The sequence below is a fragment of the Homo sapiens genome, chromosome 10, assembly GCF_000001405.40.
Source record: "Homo sapiens chromosome 10, GRCh38.p14 Primary Assembly".
Lineage (NCBI taxonomy): Eukaryota > Metazoa > Chordata > Mammalia > Primates > Hominidae > Homo > Homo sapiens.
Genome location: NC_000010.11, coordinates 128,729,017 through 128,752,465, shown reverse-complemented (window position 1 = coordinate 128,752,465; position 23,449 = coordinate 128,729,017).

Below are 23,449 nucleotides of genomic sequence, written 5' to 3'. Positions count from 1 at the left end.
TTGTCAACAGCTACAGAAAGGCCTGCTGGAGTTTTATTGGAAGTGTGTTAAGTCTACAGATCAGTTTTGGGAAAAATGACACTAACTATATTGAGCCCTCCAGTCATGAACATGATGTGCCTTTCCATTTATTTAGATTATCTTTGATTTCTATCATCAACATTTTGTAGTTCTCATCATCAGATCTTTACATGTTTTCTTATATTTACACCTACTTTTTTTGAGCTATTGTAATTTTTTATATTATTGGTTTTCAATTATTGACTGCTAGTATATAAAAATATGATTTATTTTTGTGTGTTCCCTTGAATACTCTCACCTTGCTATTATTAGTTCTAGAAGCTTTTTTCCTGTAGATTTTGTGGGGGTTTGTACATAGACAATCACACTGACTGCAAATAAGGACAGTGTAATTTCTTTTTTCCCAATGTGGTACGCCTGTTAATTCTTTTTCTTGCCTCGTCGCACTGTCTAGCTCTTCATTTTTATATGTTTTAGTTTTCTATTTTCTAATACATTAGACAATTTTATTTAGAGTGTCCAAGAACTTACCCAGGATCACATGATTAGAGGTTGCCATAATGGAAGCTAGAATTCAAGCAGCTGGTTTTAGTTCCAATTTACTTTCAATTCTGCACCCCAGCCCCCACCTTTTTCAGGAGAATACAGACATACAAAAGAAAAACAAATAGGACCCTCCTGCAGTTTCCTCTTTGACTTTGTAGTAACATCTTATTGAAGATGATCGCTGGAAATGTGGCTCTTTTCTCCTCAGTTTTGGAGTTAACAAGCATCAAGGGTGGCTTGGGTCCTCAGCCCTGATGAGAGAGTCCTTTCCAGCCATGAAAACCCTGTGCAGTCAGTGTGAGGTCACTAGGCTGGCAGAAAAACCCCGAGTGCTCTTAGGGTGATGAGTCAGTGAAAAAGCTGAAGCGAGGGCTGGATTCTGCCCATTCCTCCCTCCACTGACAGCCTCGCCCTCCGCTTCCTGAGATGCTGGCGGGAGTTGGCAGCAGTGCAGAACCCTCCACTTCTGCATAGCTCACCCCTTGCGGCTGTTGCTGGGAAGCTGGAAATGCAAGCTCTGCTGAGTGGAGTGAATGGCAGCACACTGGCCTCACCAACTTATGTCGCTGGACCAGCAAACTGTGTCCCCAGCCCAGGCCTGACTGGGACAGGGGATCATCTCACTAGCTGTCAGCCTTGGCCTCCTATGTTGTTTCTCTGCTTCAGGAAGGCTCCTTTTCTTGGAAAGAGCCCCACCATCTATAAGAGGGTCTTCTCACTCAGGAAGACCCCAGGATGGGGCCATAGGAGACCTTCCTGCAGGGAGGCTCAAGCCTCCTTCCCCAAGACCTCAGACTGCCTGTGTAGCAGCCCTGAAATACATTGTATCAAACCATAGTAAAGTCTAAAAACTTAGTTTTGAAAAATAGTTTGAAGGTTGGTGGCGCCTTTTGTTTCAAAGCAAAAGAAGACGAGAGGAAGAGTTTTACTCCCTGAACTTCCCCTACTACAGTATGTCCTGGGGAGGGAGGAAATGGGAAATCAGAAGCCTTAGAAACTGTCAGCAAACATTTTCATTCTCTTTTTTTTATCTGGAAGTGTTTGGGCTCAACGGACTTTGTTTTGAATGTGTTTGAGTACAGAATACAGTGAATATTATAGCATGAACGTGGCCCCACATACTCTGCAACTTACATCAAACAACTCATGATGCATTGAAATGGGACTTCTATTTTGTGCATCATTTACAACTTATTGCTGTAATTCCACAGAGCCCACCATCCCTGTAAAGTAGGAGGCAGAGTTTGATTGGGTTATTGTATTTCTGCAAGAGAATCTGATGGGAGTATTCTGCATTTCCTTGCCCCAGATACAAACTGCATGGACCACTCATTTAGATATCTGTCATTAATGCAGGGAATGAGATTTTTTTTTTAAAAAAAGGTGAACTTGTGTGGTTTTCTAACTTCCAGATTTTGTAATTTCAAATGTACATTAATTTAATTTTATTGACCCGACAAATGATTGTATAAGGGATGTTATCTTTCTCCACTGTTGAGTAAGCTGTCAAATCTAAAAGGAATTTTCACAAAGATATTCAAAGCCTTCAAGAAACTTGTTAATTCATTAATGCTTCCTAAATCCTTTGGAAATAAACGTGTGACATGCTGTTCTTCTACCATTGTTTGCCATAACAGTGACAGAGAACTGTGTTTCTCTGTTGTTGAGCTTTTAGCCCCAAATGACAAGTGCCAGAATTAGTCTTATATGCTCAACTGCATCGTGAGGAAAAGCAAGAAAGGGCTCTGCTGCTGGAAACCCCAAAGTGGGAACTGGAAAAGCTGCAGGGAAGAGAAAAGAACTGAACCTGAGCATCTAGTTTGAGGTGGAGGGAGCTTGGGCTCCCTGTTATTGAGGCTGCAGCTCAGCTTTCTGCTTTCCAAGTCCTAGCTATGTCTCTCTCTCCTTCAAGTTCTCCGAGCTCCTTAACACCAGGTGTTAGTTTGTCTGAGCAGGTGTCTTCCCACTGGACTAAGCAGGGATACTCAAAGGCAAAGGCTCACTGGTGACAGCCTTGCTGGAATTAGACTATCCCATCTGGTTTGGCTCCTGCAGGAGCAGAGCAGCTGTGGGTGTGGCTTTGTCTATTGCAGAATATTCCTGCCTGGAGAGCAGAGGTGGTATGCAGAGAGGTGCCTGGTGTCCTTCCAGAGGGAATCTTTTCCAGGCATGAGCTCTAATTCACACCTTGTTTGGTACAGGTGAAGGCAGCAAAGCATAAGGAAGTAGGGCAAAATTCAGAAGCACTGGATACCTATGAGCTGCCACAAGGAGAGGTCTGGGCTGGAACCAATGGCAGGCATATCTTATCACACAGTCACATGTTGACGGGAATTAATGGCCACTTTGTATTGTGTGATTGGAAGATTCTATTCTATAGAACTGGCTTACCCTGAATTTGGCTCAATAGGTGGCTCAAGAGTCAGCCAGAGAGCCCAGGACCCTGGAGACCAATAAGGCAGCATGTCACCTCCATACACATGATGCCATCAATGGAGGTCACCTAATGCTGGGTCCCCAGCTTCCACATGGGGATCAGTGTGGGCACTGGGTGGATTGTGAATGATCAGCAGGAATAAGAAGTCAGCACTTGTATTTCAGAAACCTGAATCTAGATAAGTTGAATTTTATAATTTGGAAAGAACCCTCATCAAAGAAATGAATTCTAAAACCCAAATGGCTTGCAGGACTCTGAACTTCTAAGATTAAACATATTTGTGCAGGAGCTGGAGCCAGGTAGTGTGATTGAGGGAGAGAACACAATGGGATCTCTGTGTTATGACTGCATTCCCTGCTGTGTGACCTAGGACAAGTCACCTAACCCCTCTGAGTCCACAGCTTGAAGAATATTAGTCCCGTAGATCTTGTGACATGATTAGATGAGATATTTGTGATGCACGCTGTAAACTGCAACACTTAAAGCTTTAATCAAATTTTACTCAATTGTTTAATAGAGAACCCTACTGTCATTCATTCAGTGAGCATTTGTGGAGACCTGTGGTCTTGCTGTAAGCACTGCCAGGGTCTCAGAGGAGGACAGGCCAGGGCACAGACCCATGACAGGCTCCTATCTAGGCTGGGAGGCCTGCGCACCTTGCTTTTACTATAAAACTATTATTTTTTCTGTGGAAAAACACAAAACCAAGGTTCACTGTTGTCTTGTTTACGGAAATGTCATTCAGCTGACAGAACAAAGAAATACTGAAATCCTAGCTAGATGGCCAATCTAAAAACTGATTTTGGCCAGGTGTGGTGGCTTACGCCTGTAATCCCAGCACTCTGGGAGGCCGAGGAGGGAGGATCACTTGAGCCTCGGAGTTCCAGACTAGCCCGGGCAACATAGTGAGAACCTCGTCTCTACAAAAAATAAAAATGAAACAATCAACAGGGCGTGGTGGCGAGTGCCTGTAGTCCCAGCTACTTGGGAGGCAGAGGTGGGAGGATTCCTTAAGCTTGGGAGGTGGAAGGTTTTAGTGAACCAAAATCATGCCACTGCAGTCCAGAGTGAGAGACAGAGTGAGACCCTGTCTCAAAAATAAACGGTTTTTGTATTAATTTTGTATTAAAACACACTCGCCTTCCAGGTTTTAGGAATACAGTAAGCTATTCCTGCCAGGCGTATCATGAAGCTGATTTATTTGACCCGCATTCCTGAACTAAGACATTTAATTTAAGGGGAATTGGATAGATAGCTGTGACTCACCTTGCTGTATAGATTGGACGGATCTCAGAGAGGAAGGGCTTGGGTTTACTGGCGGATGAGGTCATAAACTCCCCAGTAACAGGAAAAAGGAGTTGCATTTGGACTATTAATTGAGTTTCCTCACATGCGCCTGAGCGAGCTGTATTCCTACCTGAAAACCGCCTGGGCCTTTATTGATGTGTTAACATGGATACGGTACCGGTTGTCATTGAGAATCGGAGCTCTCTGAGTCCACACGGGCTTCTCCCTCCGTGTCAGTGAGAAGGCAGCGTGCAGACTCACTAACCAGCTAGCCCATCATCTCGGTGTCATAAATGACTCGATGTTGCCCTTCTGTCAAAATGGATTTTCAGGCGAGAGATACAATCACGTCTCATGCATCACTGTGTGTGACACTATTGATTTGATATTGACTCTGAGCGTCCTTCCCGGGATGCATTCCAACAGGTGGCCAGGCAGACACCATTTTCCCAAGAGGGTCTGTGAAAGAAAATGTGCAAGTTGCCTTTTAAAAAACCTCTCTCTTAAAACAAACTTCCGAAGGGGATTTCTGAAGGCAGAGTGGCTTTCAAGGCCATGCTTCTTGGTACAGAGAGAAAGGGGAGAGGCGGTCAGTGCTGGGTGGCTGTGGCGGGCATGCTCTGTGCTGGAATTCAGTCTTTATTTCTTCCATGACTTGAATCATGCTCCTGTTTTCCCAAAGCACCATCTGTCTGCTTCTGCGGTTCTGTCCCCCTGAGTCTGCCCCATGGTTTTCAGGTAGAAAAGCCCTCTTGTTAGCTGGGAGACCTGTGTGAGTGAGTCTCTCACTGGCTGGTGCCCGTCACCAGCCCTCTGGGACCATGGAGGTTGGGTTTGTCACCCTGCCTGGTCCCCAAAGCTAATGAGCCACAACAGGGAGAAGTCCAGTCCCTGCCACCCCAGGATGCCCCCTCAACCCCTCTGCAGGAACACAACCAATTTTGTCACACTCTTCCACATTGAACCCCTAGAGTGTTGCCAAAGTCCTGGCAAATGACAGGTGCTCAATAAATATTTTTGAATTCTCTCAGAGTACGACCCTCTTCCTTAATTCAGCTGCCATTCCACCGAATTAGACAATGAGGAGAGCGTGCTGTGGTTTGCCAACAGTGGAGCAGAAAGAGCAGGATCTCAACCTCCTGGTCAAATGACGGGCTGATGGCTTGGCCCTCTCAGGTGGCAGGATGCTGGGAACTCACTTGAGAGCTCTCTGGTTAGGGACATCTGACTGCATTGCATTGTTTCTTCTTTTTTCTTTATTTAGCCAAAAGGAAGATTTTGGAGAACAGCATTCAGTGTGTATTTTGCATTGTCCATGTTGCCACAAATGCATCACTAAGCAATACCTTGCCAGAAATATTCAGCACAAAAGCTCCTGCAAATATATGATTGCATTGGGTGGGATGAATAATACATTACACACAAGGTGCAATTGGGCGTCTGTTTTATATTTTCCTGTGTAGTTTTATAGCTAATTAATCAGGTGACCATCTATACCAAAAAGCTATAAAACCAGGAGAACCAGGAGGAATGTGCTTTCAGACAAATGTGCCACAGACGGCGGGTGAAGAAGGAAATCTGACAAAGGTTTCGTAGTAAACTAATGAAAACCCCGGCGCAGTTATTCTGGGAACACATTTTTACAAACGATGTTATATGCTTCCCCTCTTTCCTCTCAAAAGTCAAAGTCACAGAGGAAGTGTTTTGTGATTAAAATCTGGCTGCCAATTATATTTATAATTTTAGTGAAAGAATTTGTGGAATTCATAAATGGAATCAGTAAGTTTTAATGAAAAAAACTGAATCATCTAATGAGAGTGGGGAAAATTACACTGTCCTTTAAAAAATTGTCCTAATCCTGTTTAATAACATTAAAAGTAGCAGTTAAAGTGTTGGCTGGCTTCCCCAGTAAGCTGCGTTATACCTGTTACTGAGAGACCCCATGTGTGGAGCGTGCCTTCCACACAGAGCTGTGATGTCTCAGAATCGGCATGGCTCAAAGTCACCTTGTCATCTTTCCCAGGGACCCCTGACCCAGTGCTCCCAGGCAGCATTCCGGCTGGGCTCCTTCCATCCTCTCCCCAACCCCAGTTGCCTCCAGGCATCCCCCTCCACATGTGCCCTGGGAACTCTGCCTTTAACTCCCTCCTCACTAGTCCCAGCTCAAGCCCTCAGTATCTCCTATGTCATTGTGTTTATCCCATGGTGTTTATTTCTTCCAGCTTCTCTGTTTGTTTCTACCATCTTCACTTCTATAAGAATAACTTGCCTAAAATAAATTTCATCTCAAACACCTTCCCCCGGATCAAAAGGCTAAGAGGCTTTCGATCACCTGCAAGCTTCTCCTTGCTCTAAGGTCCAACCCGGACCCACCTACTGACTTGTACATCCTGCCCCCTTCTCCCCTATCAGGACCATCTCCAGTGGCACACGCTCATGTGCTGGCTTGTTCCCTGGGTCTGTTCAGCCTGTTCCTTCTTCCTTTGCAATAATTCTCCCCCTCTTGGGAGAGCCCTTTGCCTCCCTCCTCTTGCATCTTCTGTTGCTAATTTCACCAGGAGCAGAAGGCCGTGAGTGGGAGTGTGAGCTCCAGAGCCAGAAAGCCTGAGCTTCTATCCACTTACTGGCTCTATAGTCATGGGGGAAACTTACTGACCCCTCTGTGTCTCACTTTTCTCATCTGTAACTAACAAGGACATCTGCCTTCCAGGTGGCTATTGTAACTTCTGAGTTACTAGTTCCCAGTGCCTGGAACAGGACCTGCACAGGGGAAGCCCGGGGTCAATGCCACCGTCCATACAGCGTTTCTTCCAGGAGGCTTTCCTGTTCCTTCACTGTGGCTCTTGGTGCTCCCACCATCCCTCTGCAGTGCTCTCCAACCAGATAATAAACTCCTGAGCTCAAAAAGCACACCTACCACCTTTTTATATTCCTAGCACCAAGCACTTAGAGACCACAATGTTTCTTGGCAATAACACTGCCAGATTTCAAGTGCTTTCTGCGGAGTAAGTAGAAAGTTGGTTAAAGGATCCAGGCCTCCTCACATCCCATATGAACTTTTACCAGGTGGTTGGAACAAATTCCTCAACCTCCATTCCTGGATAGGATGAGAACTAGTAAGTCTGCAAAAATCATTATTGCCTTTGCCAAAATATGTAATTAAAGATAGTGTACCTTTCACATGCAAGAGACTACTTAGCCAACCCAAGAGACTTAAATAGTTCACATGAGTTTTCTATCAGGCCTTTGAGTGGGCCATTTTCTTTGGACTAAATTGAGTCAATTTCATCAAAATTGAAGAAGCAGTTGTGCATGTAGATAGAGTCTCTGATGGTGAATTTAATCAAATCCAAATGTCACCTCTTTAGGGATTCAAACCACCACCAATTTTATCTTTACTGCCAATTCAAGACTTGCATACATTTTTTAAAAAATCTGGAGGTCTTAGCCAGTTTATCTTCCTTGTCTTCTGTATCCAAGAAGCCAGGTCTCCCCACCAAGAGGCACTAAAGACTCACTCGCATGAAGGGCTTTGCCCTCTCCAGGGCCTAAGTCACTCCTGGGCTGTAAATAAGGTGCTGAAGAGAGATGGATTAATCCCACCAACGCTAGTAGGTGCGCCATAGCTTTAAGAGGCTTAGTTAATTCACACGCTTAACCATCTAATCCTTCAGCCTTACCCAGTAATAAATGACAGTGAGCAAAACCCTCTCTTAGGAGAAGAGAAATAATCTACATGGGTAATTCAACTTTTGCAGGGCATGGGTTTCATTTACAGTGCAGAGGAGAGGAAATTTTCCTAATGGGTTGATGGGGCAAGGAGAGTGAAGTTACTTATCCTGGCTGAGTCCTTTAGGAAGCTCACTCTGAGTCATCCTTCCTGTCTTCCCTGCAGAGTCCTGGGCAGAATATCCAGGGCAGCATTGAGGCTGGGTCCTCCCTCTTGAGGTGCAAATGTTTTCCAACCTTAGCTGCTATCAGCATCCATCAATGACCTTTACGGCTATGATGTCTACTGTACCTGCCTCCTAGTACCTCTGAGTGTAGTGCCTTTTCCTAATGACAGTACAATGTCTATTTTCACATTTATTCCACACGAGTTTTATTCACTAAAACCATATTAGTTTTCTTATGCTTTAAAGGCAATGTACCTGCAGTGTGGGGCAAGCAATCTCATCCTGTATGCCTTTAGTATTTGTCGTTCCTAAATGAACTAGATATGTCGTACGATGGAATTACCGGGTTTGTATTAAATTGTAGCTTAGGGACCCATCACTGTGTGACGCTAGTTACTTCCCACTTGCTTTGTTTATCACAGAGAGGGGAACTGAATTAGCATAAAATGCTACAAAGTAGTAAAAAGGATATTTTAGCACCCTATCTATTTGACCTACTATTGACCTGGTCTAATTCGTATTCTCTCTGGGATGTTTTAACAGATCATTTTCCTTGTTAATATTAGGTCAGATTAGAGAATTATGACCCCCCATTTATTCTATTCAAAAGACAGTCATTTCTGCTTCTACAAGAATAACCCCATCTTCACTGAGATCTTTCTCGTTAAATAAAAACACATGCTTTACTTTGCCTCTTAAACTGCAGTGCTGCCTCTTGCAACTGATTACTGGTGAATGACTATTTACCCAGTACTGTCTTCCTAAGCCCCGGGGAATGATACTGGTCATTCATAAATTGTCTATTGATTAGTTGCAACTAGAAATTAGATCCAAATCTTTGAAAGGAATTATTAGACTTTGAGTAACATTTGCCCTGGAACATTCCAAGGTCTGAGTGCAATTCTCACCCAACCGTGAGGCTCCCGATTAATGACTGCTGTTTATGCAAAACCCTCCATGTGGAAGTGCAAAGTCAGACATATGCCACTGCTGGGGGGTGAGCCCCACCCTGCCTCTGGCCCCTCTGTCCCTGTCTCAGCACAACTCTCCTCAGTTTCACAAGGCGCCACTTTTAGGCAAGAGATTTACAGTAGGAATAAAGGTATTCACAAACATGATTTATGATCTGTTTAATGTTGAGACACTGTGTAATTTTTTAATTGATACAGTGTCTTAGTCTTTGATTTCTCTTCAAAAACACAAATTTAACAGTTGTCCTGGCAGTCGTTTGTGCACACACATACACACAATGTGGTAAAAGCAAAGCTCTCTGATAGCTACCTTCGCCTGACTGGCCGAGTGTCCTGTCACCGTGGCCATGTGGCCGGGCATGGGCACAGGAGTGTTTGCACGTGGGAGACACAGGAACGAAGCCCAGGGAACGTGACTCTAATACTCCTTTAAAAATAAAAAAAGGAAGCACACTGCAGCAAATGCTCTGTGGAGCCCCAAACTGATTAACTGCAATGCCAAACAGCTTTATTCTGCTTAATAAGAAATTAGATCACAACGGGGATTTGCAGAAATTACCTTGAAATGTTTGTGTGTTTGAATGATTGAACAATTTATGCTAAAAATTATGTTACCCGGGTTTGAATCCTAAGCTTGCGAACAGATGCATGTTGGGCTAATCAGTATTCCAGAAAGAAAACACTCTCGGCTCTCACCGAGGTGGATGGGGACAGGAGAGGCTTTCGGCGGCAGCAACTTTGCCGATAGCTCCATTGTCCACCCATTTGGATAGACAACTTAACAGTTCATTTGGAATTAATTAAATCTTAAAACTTACTGTCGGATAAACTCAGAGCCTGGGACGGCACCATTTGATTATTCACAGACACCCTCTATTCTACATGCAGCTTGCAGGGCAAGTGTCAAAGACGATGTCCAGCACGTTAAAACCCAGGTGCTTTGAATGCGGCAGTGGCAGAAATTTAAGGGAGCCCACTCGGTTTCATTAGAACGCAAAAAACCCCAGCCTGATGCACAGCTCCTTGAATAACTTCTGAAAATCTTTTAAGTCAACCTTGTGTTTTAGTCAACAGGGAAGGTTTGACCCTTAACCTCTCAACAACCATCCGTTTCATTATTTATCTGAGGGAATCAGAGAGTTTTTGTTCTTTCACAAAAGTCCCTGACACCGGGATATTTTTAATAGCTGAAATTTTTCATTCTTGTCACTATGCCTTTTGAAAATACAGGTATTTTCATATAACACGTAGCTAATGAGTGAAACTTCAGAATCCAACCTTTCCCTATAATCACGGCACAGGGCCTGGAGAAGCCCCACTAGTAGAGAACATGAAAATTAATTATTGAGCTCCCTGTTTTATCCTCCTCATCTGTTTGATATTCTCTAGCACAGAAGGAGTCAGACAATTAAATTACTCCTCCCTCTGTCGAATCACAATGCTCCCTGCACCTTTTCTTCCACTCCGGAGGCCAGAAGCCTGTCTGTTTGCAAAGGGTAAATTGTGGAGAGAGGAGAAGACAGAGAAGAGGGTAGTTTTCTAATGGCAGTTCTGTTTTCTTCCACATAAGGATTTTTAGAGAGGCTCTGTAAAATGTCCCCTTTCGACAGTGGTTATTTTAAATGTCTTCTTTGCCCTTTTGTGCTGGAGTCAAGGATTCTCACAGGAAAAAGTCAAAGGTTGTGGCCTCTGGACCATACACAGACCATCTTAGATGTAGCTTCCACGGTAGAATCTTCCCTTTCCCATCATTTTACAATCTCCTCCTGTTTCTCAGATAAATACATAAAACCCCCTAACCACTAGCAAAGATAGCTGAATCAATTAATTTGTTTTATTGAACAATAAAGCTGTCATTCTCTAAACTAGGGTGATTACATCTAAAGCCAAGAGTAGTTTCCAAGCACATCTGATCCCATGCTTGGGAAGTTGGGTGTGTCCGTGTGTGTGCACATATGTGCTTGTGTGTGTGTGCACACGTGTGTGCTTGTGTGCTTGCGTGTGTGTGCCTGTGTGTGTGCTGACACACTCTAGGTTTGACTGGTTTTGATTTACTGGCAGTACAGCCAAAGAAAAGAGTGAGATGGCTGGATTAGCGCTGGATAAATTGTGCCCTTCCTGTCCTGGGTGGGTAGATTGCTCTGTTTAGCCTCCGGGGGTGGACCTTACGTAAAGGATCATGTTTCTTCTGCAGAGGTCAGAAAAGTCAATGTTTTGCATGTATATGAATTCTTTTGGGGAAAGAGAACTTGCTTTGATCAGATTCAAAGAGGGGCTTTGTGATCCCTCAATCCTTATGGACCTCAGGCCAGTGAGATGTTCCTGCTTATGAGGTTCTGCAGTGCAGACTTAGTGCCTGACTCCAGGGCTTGGGGTTCGAGGTCAGGGGCAGCAGCCCAGCCTCCTTCTGCCACCCCACACAGCCTCCCCAAAGATGAGAGGAGGCTGATTCTTCTGGCCGCAAGCCCACATTGCTTAGTAATTCCACCAGCATTTACTTATTAACCCAGAAATTAGATTTTAGATAAAAACTCCTTTCTTATACTTTGTAGCTGATTTTTAAATGAGAATTTAGGAATTATTGATATTTGCAGTGCAACAACATTTAGACTTATCGAATATACAGCATGGCATAATTTGGAGAAAAAGTCTCAATTTCATAAGCAACTTCATCGCAGACAAAGCTAAGAGGAGGATACATGAAGAAAAGGTTGCTCCTACTTGAAGATCATCATTTCCCTCTCTTTTGACCAGAACATTTCACAAATAGAATCTGCATTCCTATGTCAAGCAAATGTATTTTTTGGGGGGTGGGCTCCTCAGCTCCCACTCAACAGTTGGGTTTTCTGTCCTGTCCTGTCCTGGGAAATTCATCATAGAACTACACCGAAATCCACAAAGAGCAGATTTCATGTTTAAAACAAAATTATGATCCACAGTACCAATAATAATAATAATAACCCAGCAAACAACATGCACAGTGTTTAAGGCATTTCTATTCCTGAACCTTAGCCTTGCAGAAGGCCAAACCTTGTGTCCACAGGCATCGTGGAGGTGTCTGGGGCAGAGACATGGTGGCGACCAGCTTGGAGAACAGAAGTCGGAAAGAACAATCGTGCACCAATGTCATGATCAGAGCAGCAGACGCTAGGGCATTAGGGGGCGCAGAAGGACTGTGTTCCTAGCTCCTCCTGCACCCTGTCTTGCCCTGAACTCTGCAGGGGCTGGAGGCAGGTCCCCAGGACACTGACAGCATCTCTGTGCGTCCTCTGAGCAGCCCTCTCAAGGCTGATCTCCTGGCTCTGCAACACCTGCCTGCCCACAGAGGAGGCTCGGTGTCTCTAAGGAGGGGATTTTCAGGCTCTCCGCTGGCTGTTGAACACACGGTGAAAGCTTTTATGGAGGAGCAGAAAGAGACCGACCTGGTGAGCAGCCTGTGATGGCTGGGCCCAGTGCTGGCACTTAACAGTCAAGACTTTATTAAATATTTACAACCGCCACCAGGAAGGGAGGGGACACTATTCTCCCTACCCGAAATGTTGTAAACCACCCTATCAGCATAAACGTGCCTTTTAATATCCATGTTTGGTGCATCAGAGGACCAGATTCACTGCTGGTGATTGGTCTCATTAAACCTAAGTGATGATTTTGACCCAGCGGATCTGCGGTGGCAGAACAGGAGGACCCCAAGCTCAGCCAGGGAGAAGGCTTCGAGGAGGGTCAGGGTGGGCTCCTCACAGGGGTTTAGAACTCAGGCCGAGATGTCAGGGACCAGGCCCACAGCATCCAGGCAGGAGGGGATGGCTTACCAGAGCACTGGGGCTCCATCTCCCATCATTGTCTCCAGGACACCTCTTATATAGATGTTATGGTACCACACTGTTTTCTGCACCTCAAAGAGAGCTCAGTTTTGTTGTATCAGTAAAAGTAAGCTTTAAGAAAAGTGATTTGAATTTTTGCCTTTTAGTGGGATATATTGGGTTGATGCACACACAGTTAGCCACGGATCCAATACTCTCATTTAAATATTCTACCTGTACAAAAAGGGTGATGAAAGGAAAACTTACAGAGATGTTGCTAAGTGGAAGATAGTTGTTGATCACCAAGCACCTAGTACTGTGTTCTCACTCTTTCCTGTGATTCTCCCAGATGCTGATTCTCATAAAGGCTGGGGTGCACATCACTCCAGTCTGCAAAAGGGGAGCCCCAGGCAGGCAGCCCCGTGTTGCACTCCATCCCAGGAGGCAGAGAGCCCATGGGGCTTCTCTTCTCAGCCGGCCTCTGTGTCCAACATCCCCTCATAGAGGTGACAGGGACTGGGACAAGAGGGTTTTTGCTGATAGAAATATCAAGAAAGAGGTGATAGAACAAACTGAGAAATTAAATTGTAATAAGTTACCGAGGCCAGATGGTATTCATCTGAGAGTTGTAGAGGAATGAAAGACCAAAATAGCTAAGCAACTAATAAAAACATATAATTCAGCCTTTAAAGTGGCAATGGTCACCAAAGGATGGCCAGTCGCAGAGCAAGCATTCCAGAGTAATCACGGGCCACTGTCGATGTGAGAGCCTTCTAATTATTTTGCAGTTGGTTCCTCACACCCATGACATATACAGAAATGCCCCTGAGTTTGTGTGTTAATAACTTGGAAGAGATGATAAATGTTTGCATGGAAACCGCGCCAAATTATTTATGTTAGGAAGGAAAAACAAACAAAACAGTGGCATGGTAACCCCACAGAAGTTCCAAGTGGAAAAAACACTCACGGTGTTTGTATACACAGGGGCCAAAGGGAGCCGGAGGCGGATGCAGTGATCTGGAACTGTCTAGCAAGTAATGCCTACAGACATCAACCTCCGATGGGTGATACCCTCTGCGCTGAGTGTGACTCTTTCTCTGTCAAATTCTTATTCTTCTTCTGGAGATGTCTAATACCCTGGGCTAGTTTGAAAAGCAAACACATAAAATTATCTTTCACGAACAGTCAAACAACAAATTGGATGGAGATAATTGCAATAAATATGACTAAGGGTTAACCTTAATATTCAATCAGTAAGAAAACCTGAATATTCTACTGGATAAATGGGCAAAGACCATAAATAATTCACTGAAAGAAAACACAGAGAACTAATAAGCAGGAGAGAAAATGCTCCGCCTCAGCTAGATATCAGGAAAATGTAAATGTAAACAAATGTTAAGGTATAATTTTCTATCCATGTTTTTAGCAAAATACTAATGATAATGCCCACTGCTGGTGGAGGAAGAACGTGGTGACCCCTTTCGACGGGTGCTGGGGACCTTGTAGATTTCCTCAGCCTTTGGTGGGCAACTTGAAAGGAAGTTCCTAGAGCCTGTAAGTCCTTACGCCGTTGAACTTGGAATGTGAGGAAACGCATCCTGATGTAAGGAAAGAAGCGCAATGCATGTTTTATGCACAAGGCTGCTCATCCGTCATGAAATCACCTCCATTTTCACAAGAGCAGGTTGTTAGAAAGTGTGCTCTGTCCAGACAGTGCAATATTACTCAGCCATTAAAAATACTAAGTGAAAACACAGGCTGAAAGTGACATATGGTTGAGAAATTTGAAGGAAATAAATTGAAATATCAATAGTGGGTACCTCTTGGTGGCCAATTCATAGATGAACCTTGCCTTCTTCTCTGTATTTTTAAGCACTTGATATTCCGTGAGAGTCGAAAGCAGGGTCACTTTGGCACTGAAGAAAATCAATTTGACCAACCAACTCTGATGCCTTTATTTTCTACTTTCCCAAGCAAATCAAACCATGTGCTTGACAATGTACTAGGATCGGAGAGATTAAGCTGTTATAAAGTCACACACTAAGTCAGGCATTGGGCTTGATGATTGTATCTAGTAGTAACACTGGGGATAACCCTGTTTCTTTTTCGTTTTAGCTTCCATTCAGCACATGCTTATTGAATGCCGGGTACTCTGTAAACGCTTTAAGCATGTTATCGCATTTAGCCATGTTGTGCAAATCAGGACCATTCCTCTTTTGTGGACGTGAATACAGAGGTTTAGAGAGAAAATGATAGACCAGGGTTCATTCACAGCTGCCTATCTGCACAACTCTTAATGCCCCATGATGGCACCTCCAGAGCTGCGCAGTGTGCCACTGCACAGCCGCCAAGGGTTCTAAATCAGTTTTTCTGACCCACAATGAAGCCCATGTCCTTAATCTCCATGACATGTCACTTCCCCATAGTAGAAGGGTCCCTCTTTCCAAGATGCCTCCCTCTCTGAGCCTCTCAAGGACAGGGATATGTCTTCACTGAGAACAGGTTCCACTAGACAATGTTTTACTGAATGTTTCCACTGGGCTTGGCATTATGCTAATAGCTAGGAATTGGATGAAAAAGATATTGCGAAGTGTGCGAAATGTACCCAATTTAACATTTTGAGAAATGCCGTATTGTGAAGACGCAATGCTTTTGTATAAATGCTTGTGAAACTTGCAGTGCCAAACCAAGGGCTAGGTTTTACTGAGTCCTTTCTTTCAACCCCAAGCGTGTAGATGTCAATGTAGCCCTCTGCTATGTGACGGGGCAGCAATTGGAATAGAAAGCAGACACACGGCTGCAAGAGATGTTCTGACTACTTATTGAACAAGGAGAAGAGGAGGGCCACAGCCATGAACAATCAGGTCTAAGCACTAAAGATATTTCCAAGCTATAGACTAGGATGAACTTTGGTAATTAGGATTCTTTAAAATTAAACTCTTAAGGGGTTTCCAGAAACACTCTGCTTTTGGGCACAAGCTAATCGCTGGCTGTGATCAGGAAGAAACTGGCCTCTTTTTGTACATCTACAATAAAAGCATTAAGAGATCTGCACGCTTTCCGGTACTCAGCTCTGGTCACTTAAATTTAGGACACGAGGCAGGACACTGCCTGATGCAATCTGCCAACTCCGATCTTGCTATTTGATTCGTACAAAAGTCAGGTGTCTTGCAACAACCAGGTTTTCCCTGCCATTGCACTTCCCGTCTGATAGGTAAGCACACAACTAGTTAACTCTCCTCTTTCTTTCTCCTTTTCTCACCGACTCTGCTTGAGGCAATTACAGCAATGCTGCATTTGTCAATCACATTCATTCGTGCATGGTTTCCTGAAATAATTATCAGGTGACTGGCATCTCTGTGCCTGGAGAGCCGGCTTGGAAACCACAAGCCCCAGAGTATTAATTACTGAGCGCAAAAATTTGCAGAGAAGCAAGTCTTTTAATGGTAGAACTGACGTAACATGATTGTTTTGATTTTTTTTACTAACATGACAATCATTGCTGTCCCTCTGGTCATCACCACAGATCAGCTCGAATTATCTGGGGAGGCCATTACCAAGCCGGGTACCATTTGATAAAATGAGGCGCATGCTTCCTGGCGCGGTGTTTGTTGATTTTCAGAACACAGCAAAGCCTGAAAGTCAACAACGGGAATAAAAGTGGACTTCTGCCAAAGCGAGCCAGAGAAACACACTCTTTGGCGTGGCAGAGAAGATACTTTGGTGGTTCCATTTTGCTGGAAGAAACACTTTTAAGAGGGTGTCTTTTGCATTCCTTACAACTGTGCCACTCTCTGAAGGCCTCAGCTCCTGTTTTCGGGGTATGTAGGACATCAGCATTTTGTCAAATTTAACATGAAAGGTGGATTACACCTTTTTCTAGAGGCTCAGTTCATGCATGTTATCAAAACCCATATATCACAACACTCAGTCTCCCGGTAAGGAAAAAAGAAGATGTTTTCTGGGTTGTGTGTTCCCCTCTTGAAGAGGAATCTATTGAATCCAGCAAAATGAGAAAGAAACATCAAAAGAAAAGGATTCAAAAATCTGTTGAGAGAACTCAGAGGACTGTGGCGGCTGTTCCGAGTCTGATTACTCCTAATAATCACACTGCTTTCTGCTAGGATTTCTGTCTCATTCACCTTATTCAATATCCTTTCTCCGAAGAATCCTGTTCTCTCTCTTCCTCATTCGGGATTCTCATTCTCTCTCTCTCTCTCTCTCTCTCAATCTCTCTCTCTCACTCTCCCTCTCTTTCTCATAGTTTATTTTTCCTAGGCTTGAAATAGACTTTTATTCCGTTGGTGCTAATCTCACTTTTCAAAGAGCCTGAGCCCCTCCTCCCACCTCCCATTTGGCGGGTCCCTGGAGAACTTCCTCAAACACCCATATTCTGCAGCCTCTTTCTTTCTTGGGTTTCATTTTTCAAGGGCCAGTTACAACAGTAAGAAGCAAGACCTCCTCTGGGGTGTGCAGGAAGAGCTCTTCCTTGCAATTGCAGGATCTGGCCCTGCTGGGTGCTCCATGGGCCGTGCTCCCTCTTCTGACCCTGAGAGGAAGGACCAGGGAGCCCCCACCCACCCGGCTGCCCTGCACCGGTCACCCCTTCTGGGAACACCCGTCCCAACTGCTTTTCCTCTGAAGTTGTCGTGTTATGATGTTTCGTCTTTGTCGGATCCTCCGCACAATTTAAACTTTTATTTGTTGTTTGTGGGGTATTTTTACTGGGAGAAAAATATCATCTTCCAGTTTCTATATGTGGTCTGCTAGGCGTTGTCCTGTCCCATCAGCTGCCTAATTCCTCTGAAGTCCTCGAGTTCACCAGGATCACCCAGTCAGGCCTCCAGAGTGCGGTTTCACGGTCACAGAAGGTACAGCTCCTCCAGCAAGCCACTCAGTGGCTTTCGTGTGCTCCTCACTTCTCATTATTATGAAAAACGGAAGTCCAGTGGGGCAGAGAGGATTTTCACAGAAGGATGGGCATAATAGCCCAGTGAACCTGGGGCTGCCGGGGTGGCAGGCCCTGACCCCATCCTCCCTTTCTTTGGATTCAGCTCACGGATCCTGCTCTGTTCACAAAAGATGAGACAGAAGAACCCACATTGTGGCAGATTGGAAACACCCACGGAAAACCTGCCACATGCAAATTCAGAAAGCATCCGATGGAAATCCCTAAGAGTTCCTTACCATCAGAATAAAAACACTACTTAGAGGTACGGCTGAAAGCACTGAAGTCAGCTTCACCCCAACCAGCCTTCCACTAAGCCTGAGAGATACAAATTAGAGCCATGGACTGTGCCTTCAAGACTGGGCTGAAACTAGCAACCAGCTGGAGTGGAAGTGCCAGGAGCTCAGTTTCCATGTTCAGTGCCTGTGGTGCATTTGAAGCAGGGAGCAGTGAATACTGCATCCTGGGCATTGACCAGCCACACGGGGGTTCCAGCTCTGCGTGCTGAGATCGGTCACAAGTATGCCCTGGGGATGCAGATTTGGAATCCGAGAACACTCTCCATGAGGCTAGAAGAGACCCATTGTGCTGTGATGAGCTGGGCAGCTATTTGAGGTGAAACTCACTTATCTGGTGTAACCAAAAGTGTCTGGCTGGTGAGCATCCAAAACTCTCCAATGAGGAGCCAAAGGAAAGCAAGAGGCACTCGCATATTTCCCTGGGCCTAACAATGGGGAGGCTCCCTCCCTCACTGTGTGCTGGGCACATATCCCATGCTGTGTGGGAAACCCGCCCTGCAGCAGGTGCATGGCCAGTGGACTCCCAGCCTGGGCAGGACCATTGCACCCTGCACTCCAGGGAAGGGAAAGCCCAGAGCTAGCTCTGGAGCCCATCCTGGGGGATAGGAAAAGAAGCAACTCACCCAGACCTGCAGAGGCAGCTCCATCCATCTCTGCTTAGCCTCCATACCACCCCGCCCAGAGGTAGGGAGCTGACCCAGGAGACGGTACTTCCAAGGGCTTACTTGGGGTGTTGATACTAGGATGTGCAGTTTAAAATCCATCCCGCGCCTGTTCCCCAAGCTCAGGCCTGGCTCAGTGGCGTTCCCCCAAGAGTACAAAGACATCCCATGGGACCTGTGGCCAGGACATGGTGATGGTGGAGCCTTCTGAGGAAAACAGGTTTCTTCTAGGAGGTTGCATCAGGCACTGACCCTGGCTCCTGCTCTTCTAATGTGTTTTGAAAGAAGCAACACAGTGTTACTTGGCCTTGTCTAGACAGGAAGTAGAATTGAGGCACATTCTAATGTGACTGAATTGTGGCACATCCACCTAGAATTTGCAGGCTGTGCATGTCCACACCGACCCACAGCAGCAGCACAGAGACTCCTGCAGTCTCTCCAGGACACAGAGACCTAAAGCCCACACTCCTCTGCAACGTGGCCAAGGTGGCTTAGCTTCCTTTATTTTGCAAAGAAATGTAGGACTTCTGTTTGGAAGCCACAGCAACCCACACAGGGTGCTCACTGTGCATACAGGACCTCCACTCCGGAGCCTCTGTATCCTCATGGGGAAGGAGCCTGTTCAGAACCCACAGCACTTTCGGATTTGTCTGGATCCTGGGGCAAATCTGTGCTTCTTCAAATCACATATTCTAGTCCCAACAGACAGAAAAGGTGCATGTTTAAACAAGCATTTTAGTGAGATGTTATTGCATTTCAGATAAATATGTGTGTAAGGTACTTTGAAAGTGTGTATTTGGCATTATATTGGCAGAGCATTTTTCCTTTGGGTCTGAAGGTAGAAATGGCTCTGGGGAAACTGCTTCTCTCTCTCTCTTTCTCTCTCTCTCTCTCCCTCTTTCTTTCTTTTTTTTCTCTCTCTCCCTTGTCTTTCTCTCTCTCTCTCTCTCTCTATATATATATATGTGTGTATATATATATATACACATATATATATATGTGTATATATATATACACACATATATATATATTTATCTGTGTGTGTGTGTGTGCGTGTGTGGAGATGCCCATATGTACACAAATATCCATATATAGAAACATATAGTGTTTTGTGGTTCTTTGATGTAGTATATGTTTTGAAACCCTTGAAATTGTTACATATTTTATGATGAAAGGTATTCAAGAGAAGTTTCAGAAGTTTTCTTTTAAAGAGCAAATTATAAATTGTATTTGATCTTTCAACCATAGTCTCAGCCTCAGAGAAGGCCCACATTAAACGTGAGGGCACTGGCAGGCCCCTGTCCGGAACCGTTCACTTGCTGGACACTTAGGGCCACCTTTCAGTCAAATGGGAAACAGGTTTATTCGGACAACTCAAATGCAGAGGGAGATGGCTGAAATACCAATGAACAAGGCCTGGAGGGTGGGCACCCTTCTCGCACCAACCTGGAGGAATGCCCTTAGGGTGGCGTTCCATGACGGGAGCGGCAATGGAGGCCCAGCACGCAGCAGGTGCCATCACATTTCCGCCAGTTAGGACAAACACACGAGGGACCTTCCAGTTCCTCCCCCTTGGCTCTGCTCTCCCAACTAGAAGACACAGAGGCCTCCAGAAGGCAGAGGAGTGTGGGGAACAAGTAACCGCTCCCACACTTCTCCTAAATGCACATGTATTTAAAAAAAATTAAAACATTCAAAGGCACCCTGCCAATGGTCCCTGGTGGGTCCCAGCTCTTAGAACTCATCTACCGGATGTCATGCTGGTCTGGGGGCCACTTGCTCCCTCAGTATCAGCGATAGAACTGCTGACCTCAGCCACATCAGCTACAGCACCCAATCTCTCCTGTGTTACATGAGCTACCCCCAAGCCAGCCCCCACCACGGTCCCCAGTCATCTCCTTGGCCCCTGGCTGCCTGTCTCCCTGACCCGATGCTCCCTGAAGGCAGGGGCTTTGAGACACCCACTGCCGTGTGCCCAGACCTCAGGCAGCGCCTGGCCCCAGGAATGTCCAGTTCACACTGGTGGAACAAAGGAAGAAGTCAGGGCTCTGCTGTTACAATGGGCTCCAGTAGCTGATGGTGCAGTGAGAATGTAACAACAATGCATTCACTGAGGCTTCTCCTACCCTTTCTCCCCTCAAACACAAAGTACTTAAGTGTGTTCTAGAGCATTCACTCTGCAATATTAGCAGGTGTTTCAAGGCCTAATACACTCGGAAAGCATTTGGCCACACCCAAAGGATAAACGTTTAGAGATCTTTCTAGGGGAGCTGCCATGAGCCTGGGACACGGCAGTGAGCACCACGGATCTATGGCAGGGGGTGCGCCCTCCCAAGTGCATTTGGTGGGACAGTGCGTCTGCGCGAGACCACTGGGCGATCCGGAGTCTGAGGCGCTTCCTTCGGAAAACGCCAGCACAGGTGGAGCTTTGGAGCAACGGCATCCTCTAGAGGTGCCCAGCCCAGGACGAGGCTCCTAGCAACAGGTGACTGCTGAGTCTTGACTGAGGCTTGATGAGTGCAGATTCACTAAGTGTAGAATGAACACCAGGTTCCAAAGACTTATGCAGAAACAAATGAAAATGTCTCATTAATAATGTTTATATTGATTACATGTTGACATGATAATATTTGGTATATATTGGAGTAAAAAAAATATAAAAATAATTTTACCTGTTTCTTTTTATTCCTGCACTGTGGCTATTAAGAATATATAAAATCACATAGGTGGCTCACATCATCTTTCAACTGGGCAGCACTGGCGGTGAGCCCTCCGTGTCCTGGCTCACCCTTGGACTTCCTCGACACTGACCTGCAGGGTGTTGGAACCTGATTCCACCCTTTGGATATACTCAAAGAAGAGCTCAGGCTCAGACCCTGCAGGCCTGGTCCTGCTCACCTGTCCAGGAAAGGCAGGGACTTCCTTCTGATAATGACACAGGTGGAAGGAAAATAGCAGAACAGGAGTTCTCTGAGGTCCTGCTCCAAATCTGCCCCGCGGAGGGTCCTAACTCCCCAAAGGACTCTTGGCAGGTGATGGGACCTCCCAGCTGACTTTCATGAGAGAGTCTGGCACAGGCCTTCTAGGAGGTGGCATCCAGGGCACTGGAGCCCTGTTCATACTGATGAATAGGCCACACTTCCACCTAGGTTCAAGGTAGCCCAGGTTCCTTTAAAATCTCCATCTGGCCATGTCTTACAAAACATGGCTTTCAAAGTCCACATCTGCAGGTCCCATTGTCTAAACATTTCCAGAGGATAGTGCCAACAGAGTTTCTGTATATGTGTAGTTTTGTAGAAAAAAGTTCCCTAGTTCCAAATTTTGCCCTGACTCTTGAGAATCAGGGTGAGAACAGCTAAAATTAAAGCAGAAATTTGAATTTGCTGGAGAACATCTTGAGGGTGATAAATCACAGGCAGCTCTCACGATGCAAAGGAATAGCTAGTTGCACACTGCACACAGTCCTGCCCCAGCCTGCAGAATCTTGTGCTGGTTGCTGGCTTACACCAAGCCCCAGCCTCTCCCGGAAGAGGAGGCATTGGTCACGGCCTCACTGGGGCCTGGGTGCATGAGAGGCTGCCTGGAGGCCCAGAGCCCCAGATGAGGTGCTAAGTGGTGCCAACTAGGAGGCCCACCAGCAGACAGGCTCTTCCATGTGCCAGGCTTTTGGAGATTGTGCGGGAAAGCTACCAGAAGACAGGCCTCACCCAGGGCTTTCTAAGAAGCCCACGGGTTGGGATTGGTCTTACTTGGGCTCCAGACAACCCCTGCATATTCTCCATCAACCTCCTGTGGCAGAAGGTTGGAAACTCTACACTGGGGGTGGCAGATGCATGGAGAAGCATCCTCCCTTTCAAAATTCAGCAACAGCAGTGTGTGCCCACGCCTCTAGATGCTCCTTTCTCTAGCATCAGTGGGGTCAGGGTGCCCCCTCTCTAAAAAGCCCTGGGAACATTTGAGTGCTGCTTTTTATAATCTTCAGGCCTCTTGGGACCCATAAGAATCTTGTATTTCCTCTCACTTCCCCAGAAAGGCCTGCCAGTTCTTTCTCTGAAAGCCAGTTGACTCCTTACCTCACTGTCTTTCACGGCTCCCTTTTGGTTTCGCATTAAAGGGCAGCCGTCAGGTGCTTCGGAAAATGGAGATGCCATTCAGTGGACTTTGGGCTCAAGCTCAAGGGTAACCGCTGCTCTGGGTTTGGCTTTTAAAAATCTCACCCAGTATCAGTTCTGGAAGAAAGAGACTGCACACGGCACCCAGCTCTGCCACATGGGCTGGAGGCAAGCTATCTGTCTCCGAAGGGCCTTTCAGTGACCAAGTCCCACTCTGAGGAGGGTGCAGCCCCGCACTGGCCACCAAGCTAGCAGGAGGCTGGGCTGGGTCCTGGCCACAGCTGAACGCCCATGCACCTCCAGGCTGATGACCTGGATGGTGTCCTTTGTGCCCCAGCCCATGCCCAAGGCCCTGGGCTCCTCCGCAGAGCAGAGTGGGCTGAGAGCCTGAGCACAGCACAGAGATTAGACTTAAGCCTTTAGTCTCTCTCAAGTGCTTAAATAACCACCTCTCCAGGCTCCCGTCGGCG